The sequence below is a fragment of the Homo sapiens genome, chromosome 2 (assembly GCF_000001405.40).
Source record: "Homo sapiens chromosome 2, GRCh38.p14 Primary Assembly".
Taxonomy (NCBI): domain Eukaryota; kingdom Metazoa; phylum Chordata; class Mammalia; order Primates; family Hominidae; genus Homo; species Homo sapiens.
In genome coordinates, this window is record NC_000002.12 from 233,932,776 (window position 1) to 233,954,696 (window position 21,921).

Here is a 21,921-nt window from a genome sequence, read left to right on the forward strand (position 1 = left end):
CCCCATGTTTATTATTTCTCTCTCTCCACAGGTAGTGGGATCACTCCATGTAATCTAAGTTACCCATCAGACAAGGGCATCAAATGAAGTGATGATTAATTTTATTGATACCCTGGTTTTGCTGTTACTTGCCACACTAGATGACCTAAGCTGCCAAAGTCTCCCCTGAGAGTTCTCAGGGTTGCCACCCTAGTGCTAAGCCCAACCCACCCTTGCCTCTCTACTCTAACTTCTTGTGGACGCTACTGCAAGATGGTGCCGCACTTTTGCCCCTGCTGCTGTGTCCTCTGAAATGTGCTGCCAGCTTAGGAGCCACCTTCTGGCACACTATGGGTAGTAAGCTCCTAGGTCTGGTTTTGCTCTAGTCACTTCTCACTTCCTTGGCCATGCTGGGTTCCAGGTAGAAACAGAAAGAATGCTACCTTCACAACAGCAGCACTGTGCAACAGAACTTTCTTCCCTGGTGGAAATATTCTATGTCCGCACCATCCAATACGGTAGCCACTAGCCACATCTGGCTATTGATCATTTGAAATGTGGCTAGGACAACGAAGGAATGTTTTTAATTTATTTAATTTCACTTAACTTAAATATAAAATTAAATAACCACGTGAGGTCAGTGGCTACCATATTGGACGGTGTAGTTCTACAGGATTCAGATTTGGTCCAAGGGGGTAGAACTAGGGTCCTGATGTTTTCCTGTCCTCTTCATTTCTCCTGTCTGTCATCCTTATTCCTCCTTCAGGTATCTGCACTCCTAATGTCTTCCTGGCAATTTCTTTTCTCCATTTATAAACCAGTTCATACAAATTGGTGCTTAGAGGGCTACCAGCCCATAGACCAGAGCTGCCAGGCAGCTCTCTTGGTCAAGGTCACCTGTGACACACCCCTACCCTTAGCAGGGAAAAGGGCCCAACAGTTTGTTTTCAGTTATAGCAAGAACAGATGGGGCGGGGAATTCTCTCCCCCATCCTCCAATAAGCTTGGGTGGGTGGACAGATCCCAAAGGATGGTGGGACAGTGGAAGCTATGGAGAGAGAAGAGGAACATCAGGAAGTAGCCTGGGCTCAGGAAGTGCCCTAACACTTAGGAAGAGAGAGGGCTAAGAACATTGTGCTGAATTCTGGTTGACATATCTTGGCCACACTGAGTGATGCCCTGGGAACTGTTCCAAAACAGAGGTGAGTTTGCTGCTGGAGGGTGATTTTGGATCCAGTCTCTAGCTCAATCGTTATAGCTTTAGAAAATATTAAATGCCTTGAGAAATATTTGGAATAGGAATCATTTCCATACTGTGTGGTAATTAAGACTTTTGGTTACAAGGAGCTCAACTACCTAAACTTAAAGAGGGGATTTACTATAAGGAAAAAGAAATGCCACCTAAGATCAGGGAGTGGCCAGGCCTCTGGAGTGGTTAGAAACGGTGACTGATGAGGGGGTACTCAGCAGGTCCCCTCTGCCCGTTCCTGCCTCCACCTCTCCCTGCACACCTGTTCTCTTCTTTCTCAGAGTAGCTATGATTGTGCTGTGGTGCCTGATCTTCCATGTCACAGGCCTAGACCTACAGAGAGACGGGAGCAGCTCTTTTGGTCCTAATTTCAAATTCTTAAGAAAGGGATGCCTATGTCAATCCTGGATTAACTTCCCATCCTTGAGCCTGTCAATTATGAACATTTCCACAATTCAGTTATATGAACAGGCTCATCTTGATCCTACTGTGTAGATGAGGTTGGAGAGAAGAGACAGTCTCACTGCAGTCCACGTCAATGCACCATCTCTAGCAGGGACCTGCCTCCATGTATCTCCAGCAGCATCCCCAACCCCCAGGAGAGCAAGCTGCTCATGAGGATTGCTGCTGAGAAGCATTTGTTCCTCATTATAGAATTTCCTTGTTGAGTGGCTTTGGTAGTTACCCTGGGCTTCCAGCACTTCAAGAAGATCACTATCAGCAGAGCAACTCCAGTTGAAGCCAATTGCTTTCAGGCAGCAGAAACTTGGCCACAGTTTGGCTGGGAATCCATCTGCTTCTGGACTGGTCATAAAATTTGCCCATAAAGCAACTCATTTCTGCTCCTATTGTGTTTTTAGAAAAGTCATAGAAATGCATATCACTATTACCATCTTGTAAATGAAAATGTGACCTCCTGCCACAGAGTGCTTTTAGAATGAATCCTACATTTTGCCATATGTTAAATAAGGTGAACAGTAAAGAAGATCTTGAAAACACAGCCTTTCTCTGGCCATGAACAGCTATGTATACTTAAGCTTGTATTCTGGAAGGAAAACATATCTACTTTACAAAAATCATTGAGGATACAAACCATTTAAAAGAAGACCAATCAATGTATTTATTTGCTCATTTGTTCATTCATTCAAAGGACATTTGCTAAATGCCCTGATGTGCCAGAAACATGGGGACAGAGAATATAAGATAAAGAGTCCAGCTGGAAGCAAATGCTAACAGGATTTCCTCAGTTTGTATATCTTTATTTGGTTCAGCCTGTGCAGGGGATCCTTGCTCCAGAGTCACCATGTATGGTTGCTGGGCTGTGCACTGCACAAGGATGCTGGGGTGAGTGGGGCTGAATCTTGTTATCTGACCCTGCATCCTGGTGCTGACCCACATCTGCCAGAGGGGGATGCCTTTTCTGGTAGGTTAGTGGTGAATGGCTGACCACAAACTTTATTGTGGGGTCTAGAACACGGATAAGAGTGATGGAGGCACTGATCTTACCAGGACTTTGGCAACAGGTGTAAACTGAGACTATTCTGGGCAAATCAGAACATTGAGTCACCCACTGATAAAAGGAGAGCTGTGCCCTTAGGGCCTGTTTCAGTGACCAAACATGTCTCCCACTTTGCTATTCTCTAGCCTTCTCAGGACAGAACTCTCTGTTCTCCTTCTCCACTGGCCATGGCCCCCTTGAATTCCTAGCACCCTTGGATCTTGCCCTAAGATTGGTCAGAGAGACAGCAGGGAGGGATGCAGAACCAAGTGGGTGGGGCAGGCAGAAGGAAGCTGGGAGGAGGGTGAACAGTGCCTCACTGAGTGGGAGTTGTTTTTGGCTAAATGGGAATCTTGGTGGTTGTTGTTCCTGTCTTTGGAGACCACATCTCTCAGGATGCCCTGGATAGAGAGGTCAAATAGTCATAGAATGTGTTTTTAGATTTTTTTTAACTGCATTTTTGCTTCTTTTCTGTTGTCACTGCCCTCATTAATCATTGATTTGCATGTAAGGCACCACAATAGCCTAAGTCACCTTGATGGAGCAGGTGCCACATTCCAGGCCCAGCGAAACACTGTGCATCATTTCCAACCCTCATGGCAAGCCTGACAGGGGAGGGGCTGTGCGAGAGTAAAAGGAGGTGTTTTGTTTGTTTCTCTGCACTTTGCCAGGTGTCATGCTTAGCTATTCCTAAGAGACCAACTTAAAGGCAGGAAGGACATCCCGCTCATCTTGGGCTGCTGTGAAGCTCAGCCCAGGGCTGACTCAGAGTGGATTTTCGGTCAGTATCTGTTGAATGAAGGTGGTATGTTGGCAAAGGCACAAGGGAAGAGGATTTACCACTGACTGCGTTTCTTTTTATCCTCTTCCAATTTCCTGTTATGCCTCTGTGTCACCTAATGGATGAATTTAGTTCCATTGCATTTTTAACGAGAAGATCTCGTGTTCATTTACCGCACAGTTTGTCCTCATCTACCCCAAATTATTGGAAGTCTCTCTAGCAGCTAATGTCCAATAAGGAAAGGATGATCTCTCCAGAGTCTGGAACATTTTGGGTCTCTGCCAAGGGAATGCATCTTCCCAGTGAGTTCAGCCCATGGGAAGGATGTCTCACCTCACTTCAGAATAGCCTTACTGGCTGGGCAAACTGGCAGGGTTGGTGCTGAGGCACTGAGGCCAACTCAGGGCTCCTGTGTGTTATGAACTGTTTGAGAAGCTGAATAAAGTTTCCAGATTTCTGAAACTCAGTCTCATAACAGCCCCATGGACAGAAGATCGATTCCATGACAGCAGGGCTTTGTTCTGTCCTATCAGCACAGAGCCAGCTTGTTCATGAAGGGACAATAAACACCAGGGATAAAACATCAAACTAGTTTCTTTCTTTCTTTCCTTTTTTTTTTTTTTTTTTTTTTTGAGAGGGAGTCTTGCTCTGTCACCCAGGTTGGAGTGCAGTGGCGCGATCTCAGCTCACTGCAACCTCCACCTCCTGGGTTCAGGCCATTCTCTTGCCTCAGCCTCCAGAGTAGCTGGGATTACAGGTGCCTGCCAACATGCCCAGCTGAGTTTTGTATTTTAGCAGAGATGGGGTTTCACCATGTTGCCTAGCCTGGTCTTGAAATCCTGACCTCAAGTTATCCGCCCACCTCACTCTCCCAAAGTGCTGAGATTACAGGCGTGAGCCACCGCACCCGTCCACATCAAACTAGTTTCTACACAACCAAGATGATGAAAACAGTCTGAAAATAAGACTTGAAGGTATCCTTTGTGTGTCTATTTAAGCTAACAATACCAGTTTCCATAAGCAGGCTCAATGAAATCCTTCCTTCCTGTCCACACCATCGTGCTTATCAGGGAGAATGTGTGCAAGTGTGGCTATGCCCAGAGCCAGCACATGGAAGGCACCCAGATCAACCAAAGTGAGAAATGGAACTACAAGAAACACACCAAGGAATTTCCTACCGACGCCTTTGGGGATATTCAGTTTGAGACACTGGGGAAGAAAGGGAAGGTAAGCAATGGTTTTCTACTTTGGCAGCTAATTCATAGGCCAAAGTGACCTGGGCTACCTTGATTTACTTGGAATTGTCTAATAGGATGGAGGCAGGAGAGATGGGTAGTAAACACCAAAAACGATTGCAGAAAAAGATACATCTTGTAAAAGCCAAAAAGCAGTTATTAGGCTATGCTCAACAGGAAAACTCAACAGGTTAAGGACTGGATTATCACCTAGCCTCCTGTGTCCACACGCAAGGCAGGCATCCACGTCACATCCACCTTGAGCCCTACTGCTACTGAGGGCCCCATGAATGCTTTTGTGAACCCTACTGCTTAGCTCTGCGTACTCCTGAGGTACATATGGCCCTGAATATGCATTCCCTTCATACTCACTGTGCAAGCTCTCCAGCAAGGTTTCACAAAGGTGTTTAATGATCAGAAATAGCCTTTCCTACATCCTCCGTGCTCCCAGTCTCAATGAGAGCACCGTCCACAGGCTGTTCCTGCAGGGCCTGGGCCTCTCATCTCCCAAACCCCCATGGCATTCCTGGTAGGTGACCCAGCCCATGGCATCCCTGGGAGGTGACCCAGCCCCATCCACTGCTGACTCCCCCAGGGCCTCTGCCCTGGAATGGGCCGGCACACTCTCTTGCTGCCCGCAGCTCTGCCCACCTCCCTGTGGCCTCAGCATGGCCGCTGGAGGACTCCCTAAATGTAAAGCCCACCCTGTTCCTACCCGGCTTCAAACGCCTCAAGTCACCCCTCTGCCTTCAGGACAAAGTCCCAGGTTCTCCACCTCGCCTGTGGGGCTTTTCAGGGCCCGTGCAGCACCCCCACTCCCCCCAGTCTGCTTTCCTTCTGTGAACCCTGAATATCTGAGACAGGTCTCAGTTAATTTAGAAAGTTTATCTTGCCAAGGTTGAGGAGGGATGCCCGTGGCACAGCCTTAAGAGGTTCTGACAACGTGTGCCCAAGATGGTCAGAGCACGGTTTGGTTTCATACATTTTAGGGAGACATGAGACATTAATCAACATATGTAAGATGAACGCTGGTTCCTTCTGGAAAGGTGGGACAACTCACGAAGCAAAGGCGGGACAACTCGAAACGAGAGGGGGCTTCCAGGTCATAAGTAGATAAGAGACAAATAGTAGCATTCTTTTGAGTTTCTGATTAGCCTTTCCAAAGGAGGCAATCAGATGTGCATTTATCTCGGTGAGCAGAGGGGTGACTTTGAATACGGTGGGAGGCAGGTTTGCCCTAAGCAGTTCCTAGCTTGAATTTTCGGGCCCCAAGATTTATTTTCCTTTCACACTTCCACTTCCTCATGGGGCCTTGGCACGGCGCCCGCCTGGGACCCCCAATGCCGCGATCCCTGCTGCCCCCACCCCGCCCCTCTTCTAGAAGCAGGCAAGCGTGGGCTTGGAAGTTGGGAGGGAATGCTAAACCCCGACCTCAGGAGAACACAGGCCTATCCTGATACTTCTGCTTCTCTCCCCATAGTATATACGTCTGTCCTGCGACACGGACGCGGAAATCCTTTACGAGCTGCTGACCCAGCACTGGCACCTGAAAACACCCAACCTGGTCATTTCTGTGACCGGGGGCGCCAAGAACTTCGCCCTGAAGCCGCGCATGCGCAAGATCTTCAGCCGGCTCATCTACATCGCGCAGTCCAAAGGTGAGGGTGGGAGCAGCGACCGCGGGTTCTTCCATTCGGGCTGCACCAAGTTTGGGGAGCAGAGAAGGCAGTTCCCGTGTGCAATTCCGGAGAATCCGGGTGCTGCTAGAAGCATCTGATTAATCGTTATCTTATTGAAAGCCATATCCTCAAATGAATGGACACGGAGCTCTGGCAGATAGCGGGGGAGCTTCACACAGTAACTCTAAATCAGCGTTAAGGTGCTTCCTTAGGGGAATTTTTTTTAATCTTGTAAGATTTTCATTTTGTTATTAACACACGTAAAGTTTTACCCAGAATTTCGGTTCAGGGGAATTGGAAAGGACAGTTGTAATTCGCTTGTTCTGTAATTGTGAGATCGGTGATGCACTTTTGAAAGTAGTGACAGTGCCTGAGAAATTGTGAGCACCACAGAAGTGTCTGATTGAGGTCAAAGCAACTAAGCCTTTGTTACTTGAAACACTTAGCATTTTCTTTTCAACTTTATATTTTAAAAAATTTTGAATCTACAAAATGTTGCAAGAATAATGCAATGAACATCTGTACATTCTTCACCTAGATTCACCAATTGTTAACATTTCCCCACGTTTGTCTCAACTTGTTCCATAAATATCTACGTATGACTTTGGGGGGAACCGTTGAAAGCAGGTTGCAGGAATCATGATCCTTAACCCCCTAAGCACATGAGCATGCCCCTCCTGTGAGAGGGGGTTTTCTCACATAACCCAGTACAATTTTCAAACCCGAACAGTTACCATGGACCAGTACTGCTATCTAACGGTTCATACTCGAATTTTGCTAATTATCTCAACAAGGTCCTTTAGAGTAAACATTCTTTTTTCTCAGTTTGTATTCCAAATCGATTTAGCTTTGTTTTTTTTTTTTTTCCTTACATTTGGAACTGGTTCTTAGCCTTTCCTTGTCTTTCATTACGTTTTTTGAAAAGTGTAGGCCAATTGCTTAGTAGACTGTCTCTCATTGTGGATTTGGTTGATGTTTTCTCGTGATTAGATTCAGTTTGTCTAACCTTAACATTTAAAAAACTTCTTTTACGCAGAATTAATATTGACCGGTAGAACTAAGGAAACGTGTCGTAATCTAGACATGGGTTTTTTTTTTTTTTAATATCAAGAAGAAACTGAGATGTTTTGTTTTGTTTTTCCCATTTATTTTTCTCAGTTTCCTTACCAACCAGAGGGAACACTGTGGGTTGTCACTTTGTTACAAAATTGAGCAACTCAGCTTCCTTGCTACTAAATCCTGAATACACCTTATTCGTTCATTAAACATACACTTATTGGATGCCTATTATGTACCAGAAATTGTTTTATGTGCTATGAATACAGCAGAACAAAACGGACAAAAAGTCCCTGGGCTGGGGCGCCTCTTTCTATGCAGATGAAGTGAAGTGATTGAGGAAGTTGAATAGTTTCATTGTTGCTAGTTGTCCACTTGGAGTGCTACCTTCACTTCCCATTGTCTCATTTTAAAAGGGAACGTTAATGGCTGAAGTAGATATGAAGCCATACCCGCTGTACGTGCATGCAGTAAGTCAATCACTGCAAGCATGGGTTTTGCAAAAGAGAAAAGATTTATTCACAGGGTTGCCCAGTGAGAAGATGGGAGAATGGTTGTCAAATCTGCTTCCTTAAAGATAAGGATTAGGGATATTTAAGGAGTAAAGAGGCAGGTGTTCTATGGCGTGGGGAAAGGTGATAGGAAGTGGAGAAGGAATGAGGTAATTGGTGGTTTTTGCAGGTGTAGTCAGGGTTCATGGCTCGTCATAGGACACCTGTCCAGAAAATGGCAGGTGTTAGCATGATCTGAGGGAGGAGTTTTGGCCCTCTGACCTCGAAAGGTCATCTCTTGGGCATTTGTGCACGCCCTGTTGAAGAGTCAATGGTCTCAGCTGTTTTGAACTGGATCAGAGCAGCTCCCTAGTTCCTGAAAAACAACTTTAAGCAACTATTATCATAGTGACGTATATGTCAGAGATGTTATCTATAAGGAAACTAGTGGTGATTTAGTTATATATTGTTTGGCTACATGACTTTTAGCTATACGGATTTTAAAATCAACTAGAAGGAAGCAATTAAAAGCAAGCAAGGCAGGTGAAGTTTGGCAGGCTTAATTAGGTTAGCTCTCAGTTTCAAAATCTGTCTAGAGGAAGGAGACTGGGTGCTGAGAGGCTGGATTTATGCCCCGTGAGAGCTGGTTAAAAGAAGCAGGTGTAAAACTTCTAAGGATCACATCGTACTTACCTGAAAATATTAGAATGACTTTGATATGGTGATGACTAAAATTGTTCCTCATTTCTGAGGCCGTAGTAAAATTAGAGAATGGAGATAGTCAGCAAAGGGGCTTTCTAACGATTGGAGGAGGGGGCTGCCTCTCAGCTCCTGACGCTTCTCTTACAAGAGCTAATCCAAAGAGGCCAGTGACCTCTCTGAGGGTAGATTCCTACATGGGCAACATATTACACTAGGGTCATTTCCAACTTTAGATTCAGTTTTATGCTAAAAAATATTTTTTAGGTATTGTATTTGTTGTACTTTGCTGCCCCCCGCCGCAATAAAACCCTGTATAACCCTTAGCATTGAGAAGATAATCAGATCTAAACCCTAAAAAGGCCAGTGTACAAAATTGTGTTTTATAAAGCAAAGTTATTGACACAAAAGCCATCCAAGGAAGATTCACTTGAATCCAACCAATATGGGGGTCCAGGAGCAGAGTGCCCGACTTACCATGGTGGCATTGCCTAACTTGCTTAGAGGCTCTGGTTAGACATTCATTGTCCATAAGAGTCCTCTAGAGGCTGGTTAAAGATACAGACAGATTCCCTCGACCCACCTCCCAGAGAGCCTGATGAGGCAGATCTGGAATAGGGTCAAGAATCTTTTTTTTTTTTTTTTTTTTCTTTTTGAGATGGAGTCTCACTCTGTTGCCCAGGCTGGAGTGCAGTGGCATGATCTCGGCTCACTGCAACCTCTGCCTCCCGGGTTCAAGAAATTCTCCTGCCTCAGCCTCCCAAGTAGCTGGGATTACAGGCGGCCATCACCACGCCTGGCTAATTTTTGTATTTTTAGTAGAGATGGGGTTTCACCATCTTGGCCAGGCTGGTCATGAACTCCTGACCTCGTGATCCACTCGCCTTGGCCTCCCAAAGTGCTGGGATTATAGGCAAGAGCCACTGCGCCTGGCCAAGGATCTGTATTTTTAAGTGAACACCTCTCAGGAGAACTGTCTGAGGTCCCCTCTCCTTCCTTGCCATACGACATAGCTGCCAGTGCTGTGTCCTGATGCCTACAGGGATGGGGCCTTTATTTTAGGGGTCTGTGAGCCCAGAATGGAAACTTTGCCCAGTGCCACTTGACCATTTACTCTTCCTATTTGTTGACAGGTGCTTGGATTCTCACGGGAGGCACCCATTATGGCCTGATGAAGTACATCGGGGAGGTGGTGAGAGATAACACCATCAGCAGGAGTTCAGAGGAGAATATTGTGGCCATTGGCATAGCAGCTTGGGGCATGGTCTCCAACCGGGACACCCTCATCAGGAATTGCGATGCTGAGGTACCGGTGGGACAGGAGGAGGTCTGCTAGGTCACATGGAAGAAAGACCATGGCATGGGCCTGTGGCCTGAACCCTGGGGCTCTGTGATGGAGCCAGCCAGATCATGGGGAAGTCTGCCTTTCAAGGAGTGCCTTTGGGACCTTAAAGGAATTGAAAACAAGGATGACGTACCTAATTAACTGCTGGGAAAGAGTTAACAATGAATGTTTTGTTCATTAAAATGTGTTCTCAGCAATCTCATATCACAGTCAGGTTCTTTATTCTTCATAACTATGGCTTACATCCATCTCAGGCGGGCTCAAAGCCAACTGCAGTATCTTTTTTTTTTTTTTTTTTTTACACCCACTAGGATGGCTATGTTTTTTTTTTTATTATTATACTTTAAGTTTTAGGGTACTTGTGCATAACGTGCAGGTTTGTTGCATATGTATACATGTGCCATGTTGGTGTGCTGCACCCATTAACTCATCATTTAACATTAGGTATATCTCCTAATGCTATCCCTCCCCACTCCCCCCACTCCCCAACAGACCCTGGTGTGTGATGTTCCCCTTCCTGGGAACCAACCCAAATGTCCAACAGTGATAGGCTGGATTAAGAAAATGTGGCACATATACACCATGGAATACTATGCAGCCACAAAAAATGATGAGTTCATGTCCTTTGTAGGGACATGGATGAAGCTGGAAACCATCATTCTCAGCAAACTATTGCAAGGACAAAAAACCAAACACTGCATGTTCTCACTCATAGGTGGGAATTGAACAATGAGAACTGCAATATCTTGATTGCTTGGCTACACTCACAGAAATTCAAATCAATGGATATTGTCCTTGGTTAAATGGGCATTAAGAAGGCTGTGAGACAACCACCCCCCGCCCCCTGCAAATGTTTCCTGTGAACATTTTTAGAGAGTAATGAGCATTTCATGCTAAAAATACAAGGTAGACATATGGGGTTTTGTATCAAGTGTAGAATTTTGAAAACAACATTTCTAGTAGTTGAGGAACTTCTTGAGCAACAGGTGTTCTCTGCCCAGAAGCATTGGACCAAATGTTCAGAAATCCACATTTAAGCTACACCTTCTCCCATCTGGGCTCCTTAGAAGCGGCAAATGTTAAGGATTTTTGGAATTGCTGTGATTCTTCTTTTAGAATTATTTTATTTTTGTGTCTTGGTTACCATTTTTGAGATATATAAGGGGCAGGGGAGAGTGGGAGGTGTTTTTTTTTGTGCATCTTCAAGGAGGAAGCATGGTAGAGGGGGAGGAGGAGGCGTTTTGAAGACAGAGAAGTTGGGGTTGGAGTAACCATTCCTTTTCTAGCTGCATAGTCTGGAGCCAGTTCCCTTCTTCAAGCTTTTATAATAATAACCTGTATTGTTATGGGACTGATTTATCTAATTGTGCAGAGTGAATGGTAGCTTCTATTATTATTACTAGATGCCCAACAGGAGATGGCAAAATGATTTCACATCAAATGCCAACTTCAGGGATGAGAGTGGCCTAGAGCAGGCTTTTGAGGACAATGGCAGGCTAAATGGGAAAGAATACCATTATCTATTAGCAATATTTGTAATGGGCATAGGAGTCAATGTAGTGTTGTATAATTATCCCCACGGTAGATGCAGTGCATATGTTAATTCACAGACTCACAAAAAACCTTGAAAATGTGGGTATTTTTACCTCTGAATGGGAATGAGAAAAGACTTCAAAGTCTCCCTAGAGGCTGTTTACAGAGCCCATTTCCTGGCAACAAGTAAAACTTGAAATGAATATGTAAAGATTAAAGAATGTGCCAATCATTTGGAAATTAAGAAACAACCAACCACCCAACCATCTGCTAAACAAATGTTGGATCTAGAATGATCTTTCAAAAATATAATCATAGATAACTTAGAAAGCAATGCAAATAAAAACATTACATATTAAGAATATATGTCAATATGTCAGTATGGCCAAAGCTGCACTCAAAGTGAAATGCATAGCCATATACCTTTATTAGTAAAAATAAAAGTAATAAATAATTCTTTAATCATAATAACAAAACCTAACATTTATATAATAGCACTTACTATGTACTAGGTTCTATTCTAAGTGTATTACATATATTAACTCATTTGATGTTCATAACAAAACTATGAGGTAAGTACTACTATTCCCCCCTCATTATAAACGAGAAAAGTGAGGCATACAGAAAGTAAGAAACTTTCTTAATGCACATATCTAGTTAGTGGCAGGTTCATGGTGCACAATCTTTTAACCACTATAGTATTCAGATTAATAAATTTAAAAAATAGTATCACCAGCAAAACTCTGAATTCTTTCTGAATGCTATTTTTTCCTTCTGTTCTCCTTGAATTTTGGTGGTGATATTATTGTTCAAACTTATTAAATTCTATGTTTGGAGTTAAGATTGAAACACCTTTTAATGCAACGCTGATACTTTAAAACCTAAATGCCTTTGAATGGAGCTTGAGAGTGAGGAACCTTTTTGGTAAGGATTCCTTTCTTTATGTTCCTGAAGCAGTTTTTTATTCTCTGGTATTTTGGGAACAAAGTATCCATTTAATTACTTCTTTTTGTGGTCCTGTTGCTATGCGCTTCTCAAGTGCAAAGACTGTTTCATTCATTTTCTAATCCCTAGATCCTGGCATGGGTCACGGCATATGATAGATTCCAGACAGCTATGTATGTGTGCATTTCAATGTCTGCTTCTACCTGTATCCAGACACACACAAATACACACACACACACATTTGCACATACATGGTTTCCTGAATGCTGAATTTGAATTTCGTTGAATTTATGCAAAAGAGCACAGGGCAATGAACCAAGAATGGGACTGGGAATCTGATCCTTACACTGTCACTGGCCATTTATGAGAAAATGAGCACATGGCACAACCATTTTGAACTTCCATTTCCTCATATTTAAAAGGAAGTCTGTACTATAAGATCGCTAAGACCCCTCTGGATTTAGGAATCTGGGAGGAGGCATAATGTGATTGAACCCAAAGTATTAGCTTTCATATGAATATAGAAAAATATCATCATGTATCTTGACTGATAATACAATCTCAAAGACAAGTTTCCCTGTACTTTTCAGGGCTATTTTTTAGCCCAGTACCTTATGGATGACTTCACAAGAGATCCACTGTATATCCTGGACAACAACCACACACATTTGCTGCTCGTGGACAATGGCTGTCATGGACATCCCACTGTCGAAGCAAAGCTCCGGAATCAGCTAGAGAAGTATATCTCTGAGCGCACTATTCAAGGTCAGTGGTTAGGAGGTAGGACACTAGAAGTGTACAATAACCACAGCAGCCACAGCATCAACAACAATCACTACCAACTATTGAGTGATGCGTGAGAAACACACCTGATCAGGTATTTTTATTGCCAAAGAACTGTTATTTCTCTTAATTTTTCCAACACATCAGGAATGCTTCTGCCAGGGTCAATGTGGTATGTACCCTTTAACATGCTAAAGGCAATGATAAATACGGCCATCTTCCATTGTGGTTTGTTAGTATCAAAAGCTGGCTGTCTTCTTCTGGTAGATACCATTTAAGAACAAATACGATCTACAATGACAAATATGAGTTTATGAAACAACGCAATTAGCTAGGATAGAAAAGATAAAAACCAACCTGCTAGTTTAACAATGGTATGGTTTACTTTTTTGAATCTTGGCTACTTCTGAGTAACAGAAAACAGTGGTCTCAAGAGAAGAATGCAACAGTTGAGTGAAAGCCATTATTTGCCGTGGTTGAGTGACATGTACTCTCTCTCTTCCTGTGGACAGGGTATTGAGATGTGTCCTGCTGTGGAACAAGATTACCTTGTGATTTAATGATAGACATAATGACAGGAACTTGTTGGAAATGTTGTCAATTATTTTCCTTTCACAATTGGACATACATGAAAGAAGAAACTATATATGCAATAAACTGTTGAAAGACCACTAGTTATGCAAAGTTCTCACTCAAGCAAGCATAGGATTATAGGAAAGCATCATTATTATAAGGATAAACTTAAACCTAGTTTAATTTATAGGTGCAATGGTAAATCATGCACAGGCTTTCAGTATTCAAATATGTATTTTAAATATCAATGACAAATTGCAACATGACCCATGTCATGCTATTACTAGTGTGGAGCAAAAAGACTCATCCGTCTTTAATGAGTGGATAATGTTCAAGTCCGTGAGATGTGAAGCTATCTCTCCACACCCTAGGCTCACAGGGCAGAAGCTCTTGGTCCAACTTTTCACAGAGGTAGGTGAGTATTTCTAATGAGCTCAAAATATGCTTTACTTTTTATATTTTACAGATTCCAACTATGGTGGCAAGATCCCCATTGTGTGTTTTGCCCAAGGAGGTGGAAAAGAGACTTTGAAAGTGAGTCCTGATTTAGTTTTCTAGAAGGTTGGCTAATAAGCCTATCCAACAAATTTGTATTTTCAAGGATTTGGGCTCATCTAATCTAACCTAATTGATTTTACTGCAGCAAGTAGGTAGTGTTTTCCCTCCACATACTGTTCCCCTAACAGACTCCGGTTATTCCTCAGTCAAGAAGATTTGGGAGGAGAATTTCAGTGACATGAATAACCTGTGTACTTAGTGTTGGCCTTGACAGTCAACCTGCCAAAGAGAAGAGTTGACATTAATTCGGGAGACTTAAAGATTGTAACCGGCATATATATTAGAAAGCTATGGCCAACCTATCTGCATTGAGATGAGCTGTGATCATACACACACAGATTGCCCCCAAACCAGATGTTTCCAGACCACCTAAGGCCCATTTATATGCCACCTGGGGATGCAGGTATGTTGCATGATGGAATTCCAAACCCTAAGTGATTCTGAGATCATGGAAACTTCTTGAATGGTTCTGCACCTGCAACACTGAGCAACTGAGCAAGAATTTGACTTCCCAGCCAATCTGTATGGACTCATTACTGAGTTCATCTTGCCTGCAGTCAGGCTTCTGTTTGACGTTTTTTTGTTTTTGTTTGATAATCCACTTGAATCAAAACCTTTTATTTATTTATTTGTTTTTAACTTTTAGGGTCAGGGGTATATGTGTAGGTTTTATGTATAGGTAAATTGTATGTCACAGGGGTTTTGCATACAGATTATTTTATCACCCAGGTAATAAGCATAGTACCCCATAGGTAGTTTAAAAAAAGTTAGTGTGACTACATTTTAGTAAGTATTGTAAACAATTTTCAAGAGCTCATTTTTCTAGGAATAGCACATTACAAGAAAGTCATTTTTAACTCATCTTTTTCATGAATTTCCGCAATGATTTGCATATTCCTCCTTTTACCCATCCTATTTTACCTCTAAGACAGGGAATAGATTAAAGATACCTGGAGCTAAAAGTAAGTGCTGGCAAAGTTATCTGGAATCATCATCTAGTACTTCTCATTATTCTTTTATGTAACAATGGCTGTTTTCTTCATCCATTCAACAGATATTTATTGAGTACCCGCTATGAAATTTACAATTGAGATCATGGTTAAATAAAAATATTCAGGGAAACATTAAAATAGAGATTTTTTTTCAGTGTGTGATTGTCAGTGTATTAAAACCTTTTTATGCCTAGTGTTCCATTATTGGAACACTAAGCATGTGGGAGTTATTTATATCCTACTGCTCAAGGTCATCACCAAGGTGATCGCCAAAAATTCAAAAAATTGCAAGCTCCAGCATAAATGGCTCAAATCTGCAAAAGCAGCCACATCAAAGAGGAAGAGGGGTGGAGAAAAAGTCATTGAAATATGGTTACATTTATTATCTTACCAGATCAAATATTAGATTTGGAATGAAGATTTCTTGGCCTAGGGGGTAGGGGGAGACTGGAGAGCTGCTGCTGGTCTAGGGAACTGCATTTCTATGGCATTTTCCACTGCCGTCTGCTCAGCCAATTAACAACCCACAGTAGTGGGGGTAGGAGAGGTGAGGTGAACTAGGAGAAAATACCCAGCCAGGGCCGGGCACAGTGGCTCACGCCTGCAATCCCTGCACTTTGGGAGGCCAAGGAGGGTGGATCACCTGAGGTCAGGAGTTCGAGACCAGCCTGGCCAACATGGCAAAACCCTGTCTCTACTAAAAAATACAAAAATTAGCTGGGCGCAGTGGCAGGTGCCTGTAATCCCAACTATTCAGGAGGCTAAGGCAGGAGAATCGCTTGAACCCAGAAGCTGGAGGTTGCAGTGAGCCGAGATTGCGCCATTGCACTCCAGCCTGGGAGACAGAGCAAGACTTTGTCTCAAAAAAACAAAGAAAGAAAAAGAAAAGAAAATACCCAGTTGGTGCCTCTGCATCCCTTCCTGGTTTAACTCCCCATCGACACACCCACGACCACCTGTGGTGCAGACACTTGAGGCACACAGAGGGATCCCGGCCTGCTCTGTGACTCTCACCCTCTGTGGGCTTCAATCATGGCACCACACATCTGGCTTCCTGGGTGATGTCTTCTCTAAGGAAAGCACTCAGACCTAAAAACAAGTGCTTTTCAATTTTTTTTGTACCTCCAGGTAGATCACTATATCTTGCTGTCCAGTGATTAAAATCCTTAAAATATGATCCCCCTCTGCTGTCCTCTGCAGTTGTTACAAAGGTCATAAAAGTGTGCTAGGTGTTTATCCAGGAAGAAAATATATTTTTATTCTTTTTTAATAACAGGAGCAGGGGAAATTATTTGAGGAGGGAAATATGTGAGTAAACATCACATAAAACATGTGGCTGCTGTTTTAAAGTTATTTTCACACCTCAAAAGTATGAGTATTGGTTACTACTAACCTGTTTCAGATAAGCTATCAACAATAATGCTGAATACAGTCTTAATACATGTCACTCAAATCTATTATGTCAGTACTTGGAATGATCAATTTTGTGTACAGGGATATTTTAAAGCACTTATCTATAGAAAACTTAAGCTAGTCATAATGTGTTCTTATTATGGAATTTGTTGTGGGGACAAGATTTCATAAAGCAGATTACATTTCTCATTCATAAAGCAATTGACAATATTTGATTTGCTTCTGATTTAAAATAAAAGCCCCAAAGGAAAACGTGTAGGGATGTGTCCGTGTGTTTCCTCCAGCTTGGCTCAGAACCTTAGTCCAGAGCTGGGTTCTGTGGACCAAGGTCTCTGATCTGTCTGACTCTGTCTCCTTCCTCCAGGCCATCAATACCTCCATCAAAAATAAAATTCCTTGTGTGGTGGTGGAAGGCTCGGGCCAGATCGCTGATGTGATCGCTAGCCTGGTGGAGGTGGAGGATGCCCTGACATCTTCTGCCGTCAAGGAGAAGCTGGTGCGCTTTTTACCCCGCACGGTGTCCCGGCTGCCTGAGGAGGAGACTGAGAGTTGGATCAAATGGGTAAGTTGTCGGGACCATGTCTGAGGGCTGAGAAAATAAGACAAGTTGGTGAGAAGGGAGAATGCCTTAAACGCCCAACTCCACCAGCAGCTGCACGTGTTTGGTATTTTCTCCGTGCCTTTGAGGCTCAACAGGTGTCTTGCTGGAAACTGAAGTTCAGTAAGATACGTGACTCACCAAGTGTGATATTTGTACTTGAGATATTGCATTTTTCAGAGTTTACTAAAAAAGGGAAAACTGATGGTTTTATATCAATGTTCTTACTGGGATGTTGTAATATCTTATTCAAGTCCAGGAGAGAGAGAGACACAAGAATCTGACAAAAAGAGATAAACATATCAGCCTTACTGATGATGAAGGCAAAGTTGAAAGAGGTGGCTTGAGGTGCAGAACATTGCGACTGCATATGCTAAGTCTCAGAATAAAACAGATAAGCCCACCCTGACACAGGCAGCGCCGGACACCTGCTGACCTCCCTGCTGGGCTAGACGTGGCAGCTGCAGACCAGGGCACTAGTGCTTTGCAAGGTGCAAAGCCCAGTGAGAGGAGAAGGAGAGGGCTGGCTGGGCAAGGCCAATATTGCTCCCCAACCCTGAGTAGGGCTAAGTGAAAGAGTGGAGATTGACCAGGTGCCTAATTCTGATGAGGCTCCTCCCCATGGAATTCTGTTGGTTGGGAAAAGCAGCACTCCCTTTCCAAAGTGCTTATACATTTTTGATTCTCTAAACATTCATACCTAACTACTTCGAGTCAGTTCTGAACATATAAACAGGGCTGGGTGCAATGACTCATGTCTGTAATCCCAACCCTTTGGGAGGCCAAGGCAAGAAGATCGCTTGAGGCCAGGAGTTCAAGACCTGCCTGGACAATGTAGTGAGACCCCGTCCCTACAAACAAACAAACAAACAAACAAACAAACAAACAAAAATTACCCAGGCATGCTGACATATGACTATAGCACTAGTACCAGCTACTTGGTAGGTTGAGGTGGGAGAATCATTTGAGCTAGGGAGTTTGAGGCTGTAGTGAGCTGCGATGGAGCCATTGCACTCTAGTTTGGGTGACATAGTAAGATCCCATCTCAGCAAAAAAACAAAAACAAACAATCAAAAAAAGCATATAAGCAGGCCTTTTCCAACGTATACATATCAAAGTAAGACACTGCATATTGATTGCATATTGACTGCCACTCTCAACGTCATTTCCTGTGATGGATGGAATAAATTCAGTGGTCAGTTCAGGGATCCCCATAGAGGAAGAAACGGATGACTCTTAATTTATTCACCAAAGATGGCCCCAGGTCCACTTCAGTGACCTTCCTCTTACTCCTTGTACAAGTTGGCTTGCCAGGTCTTGACCAGGCCATGTCCAACGAATAGAGGCCATCTGAAGGGCTACCACACCCTTTATAAGGGATTTTGATTTCTGCTTCATGAAAACTGTTACAGGCAACTCATCTGAAATAGGCTAAAAGGCACATTCTACCTTCTTTGATTATATTATCCTTTCTGCAATTCATAGCTAATTCATATTCATACTGAATATGCTAATGATATATTATAATTACAATCACATCAATCAGAAAACATGCATCAATAATAAAAATTAGTCTGGAATTTTAATTAGGCACTCATACAGGGTTTTGCAGTTGGTACAGATTTCCCAAAAGACCAAGCTCAAGAGTGGGATTATTAATTAATGAATGTATACATTCAGGCAAATATTAATTAGACAACCTTCCAGGGCAGTCCTGGGTGACCTCGCTGACTATGTGGACAAGCAGCCCCAAAACCTGGACTCCCAGTTTCTTGACCACTCTAAGCGATGCATTATACCTCTCCCACTGGGCTCACACCTTCCTCTCCTAAAAGCCGTCATGGTTATTCCCCCATGCCTATTCCTCAACTTCTCGAGAACTTGACTCTCCATAGTCTTCCAGTCTATCAACCAATCTAGATATCATTCGTGTATTCATCTTTAACTCTCATTTATTAATTTATTCAGTAGATATTTGTTGAGCACATACTGCGTGCCGGGTTCTGAAATAGGCACTTCAGAAAGAATTGCGTACACGACAGAAACAGTCTGTGTCCTCTTAGACAAAACAGAATTTGAAAAAAGGTTTAGGTTGAGTGATGACAGTACAGTGCATTGTGTAATTGCAAGTCGAAATGGGTGTTTGGAAGAAAGGTAACATGGATACAAAAAGGCAGGTGCCGAGGGAGCCTGGCCTGGTGTGGGGCTTTCTGGAAGGCTTCCCGGAGGAAGTGATGTGGGAGCCAAGATCTGAAGGATGGAGAGAGTTAACGAGGTGGGGGCTGGGGTTGTGGTGGTGGTGGGAACAGCATGTGCAAAGGTCCTGAGGTGGGAGGCACGCCTGAGGAGTGAAAGACAGCCGTGAGGGTGGGAATGGTGAGTGGGAGCTCAAGAACTTGTGAGGGACCAGCCCAGGAGGCTCCCTGAGCCCCGTTTGGTCTTGTTCAAGTGTAATGGGATATCATTAAAAGGTTTCAAGCAGGGAAAAAACGAGATGGAAGTTGTGTTCAGGACAGCTCACTCTGGCAGCAGTGGGGCAGAGGATGGAGGAGGCAGGAGTATGCAGGATGGAGTCCCAGCTAGGAGGGACTCCTGTGGCCGTCTCTGGGGTCCATCGGTTTACTTGCTATCCATATTCATTTCCTTCTTCTTCCTTTTTATTTCAAAGGAAAATAAAAATAACCCCTTGGTACTGCCCACCTTCACTTGTGCCGTAGAATTTTGGGACCTTCACCCCTCCTCCCCGCCTGTCAGTTCTAGCTGGACCCCTATTCTTCAGTCTGAACAAAGGCTGCAGACAGATGAAGAGAGCCTTTCCTTCATGCTATCATCCCCACCCACCCTCTCCTTCAAAATCTCCATGTTTTGTCTTTGCCTGCAGTTTTCATTCATTTCCTCATCACCTACCTGGGTGCTTTGAACTAAGACCTCCATCACCACCTTTCCCAGGCAGCTGCAGCCTCAAAAGCTCACCTTCTAATTTCCAAATCCAAGGGCTCTTTTTGCCACCTTCAAACAGCCAGACCCTGAGACTTCGTCTCCCACCCAGCGGAGCCTCTGCAGTTCCAGATCCTTATTTCCAAACGTTGCCAGGGAAACCCATCATTGCCTCAAACTCAGTCTAATGGAAACCAGACTTGCTCCCTTGGCTAGAAGGGGCCCTTCTCACCAAGCTCCAGCTGGGCTCGCCAGTGCTTGTAACCTTGAAATTACAGGGTTATTTACTTTTTAAAACGTCTTAAAATTAAACATTACAGAAAAATAACAAAGGACAATATAGAAAATTCTTTATCTGTTTCTCCAGTTTCCAAGCCTTCTTTCTTGTTTGCATTTGAGCTTTTATTTCCTATTGTTTAAATCTTTATGGGCACACTTGGATGGTGTCTACAGTCTTCTATTGTCCCTTCTTTATTTACTTGGTCATTTAATAACTGAGCATCTGCCATGTGCCAGGCTTTGTGACACACACACACACACACAGCACCTGCACGCAGATGCACACATCTCTAGTCAAATGAGGCTCTCAGCTTTTTGATAGGGGCTTTTTGATACGTGTATAACCAATACTTTATTCTCACTGTAGTCAAGGACTCATTGCAATTCAGAAATGAGAAGCTGATCCGGAACTCCACTACAGGTGGTCTTTTTAAAAAGATCTCTCACAAAAAGAAAGAAGTTTATGCTCCTCATGCCTAAAATCTGTTGGCTGACACTTTGTTCTTTAATTTCGCCAGCTCAAAGAAATTCTCGAATGTTCTCACCTATTAACAGTTATTAAAATGGAAGAAGCTGGGGATGAAATTGTGAGCAATGCCATCTCCTACGCTCTATACAAAGGTGAGTAAAAATAGCTCCTTTTGAAGTGTCAGCTTTGTGTTGCCTTCTGTGGCTTTTCATGACTTACATTTCTTTTATAAAACAGCTTTATTGAAAGGCAAGCTTGTACTTAATTTTGATGATCCTAGATTGGAAGCTAGAATAACTACGCTTGTCCTGGTGAGGTGAATCTCCTTGGTTGTATGTATTTGATAGAATAATAATTTTTATGTCATTAAAATACTGGTCAAACAAAATCGCAGTAGTCTCCAAAGAGCTATTTCTAACAGTGGTTGAAAATAATTTTTTTATTGGGCCTCAGATTCCTTTGAGAATATGGCAAAACTATGGATCTTTGTCCTAGCATTCTACATATTTGTACACATATGCACACATACTTCACACCTAAGTAACTTTGCATTTAATTTCAGGGGTTTACAAATTTCCTGAGGCTTATGAATGAACCTCAGGTTAAAAAATTCTCATTCATGATCTTTGCTGCTTTAGAATTCCGTAAAGTGGATGTTACCCATAGTAAATAGATCCTTGGTTGTCTAGACTTGAATTGTGTGACTGATAAATATAAATTAGCTAGAGTAGAGCCAGGCACGTTGGAAGTGCATTTAAAGCATCAGCAATTTATTAGAATCATTCTTATTGTACTTGCCAGACATTTGGTTATAAAGGTATTTATTAAA

The 21,921-nt window shown here is 43.1% G+C and overlaps 1 protein-coding gene across 21 annotated transcripts in view; it reads left to right on the top strand.

The window, feature by feature from the left end:
• TRPM8 (transient receptor potential cation channel subfamily M member 8) overlaps positions 1-21,921 on the top strand; it is a 102,150-nt gene that overhangs the window by 15,403 nt on the left and 64,826 nt on the right. For 7 of the 21 annotated variants that reach the window (NM_024080.5, XM_011511810.3, NM_001397608.1 and 4 more), the window contains 7 exons: positions 4,578-4,734; positions 6,223-6,400; positions 9,801-9,973; positions 13,081-13,255; positions 14,313-14,380; positions 17,174-17,371; positions 21,142-21,244. In NM_024080.5, coding sequence (NP_076985.4) covers positions 4,578-4,734; positions 6,223-6,400; positions 9,801-9,973; positions 13,081-13,255; positions 14,313-14,380; positions 17,174-17,371; positions 21,142-21,244 — 1,052 coding nt within the window. Of the gene's footprint in view, positions 1-254; positions 1,182-3,397; positions 3,508-4,305; positions 4,482-4,531; positions 4,735-6,222; positions 6,401-9,800; positions 10,215-13,080; positions 13,256-14,312; positions 14,381-17,173; positions 17,372-20,977; positions 21,045-21,141; positions 21,245-21,921 lie in introns of those variants that run through there. The other 14 variants (NM_001397614.1, XM_024453133.2, NM_001397619.1 and 11 more) reach the window with 10 other exon arrangements.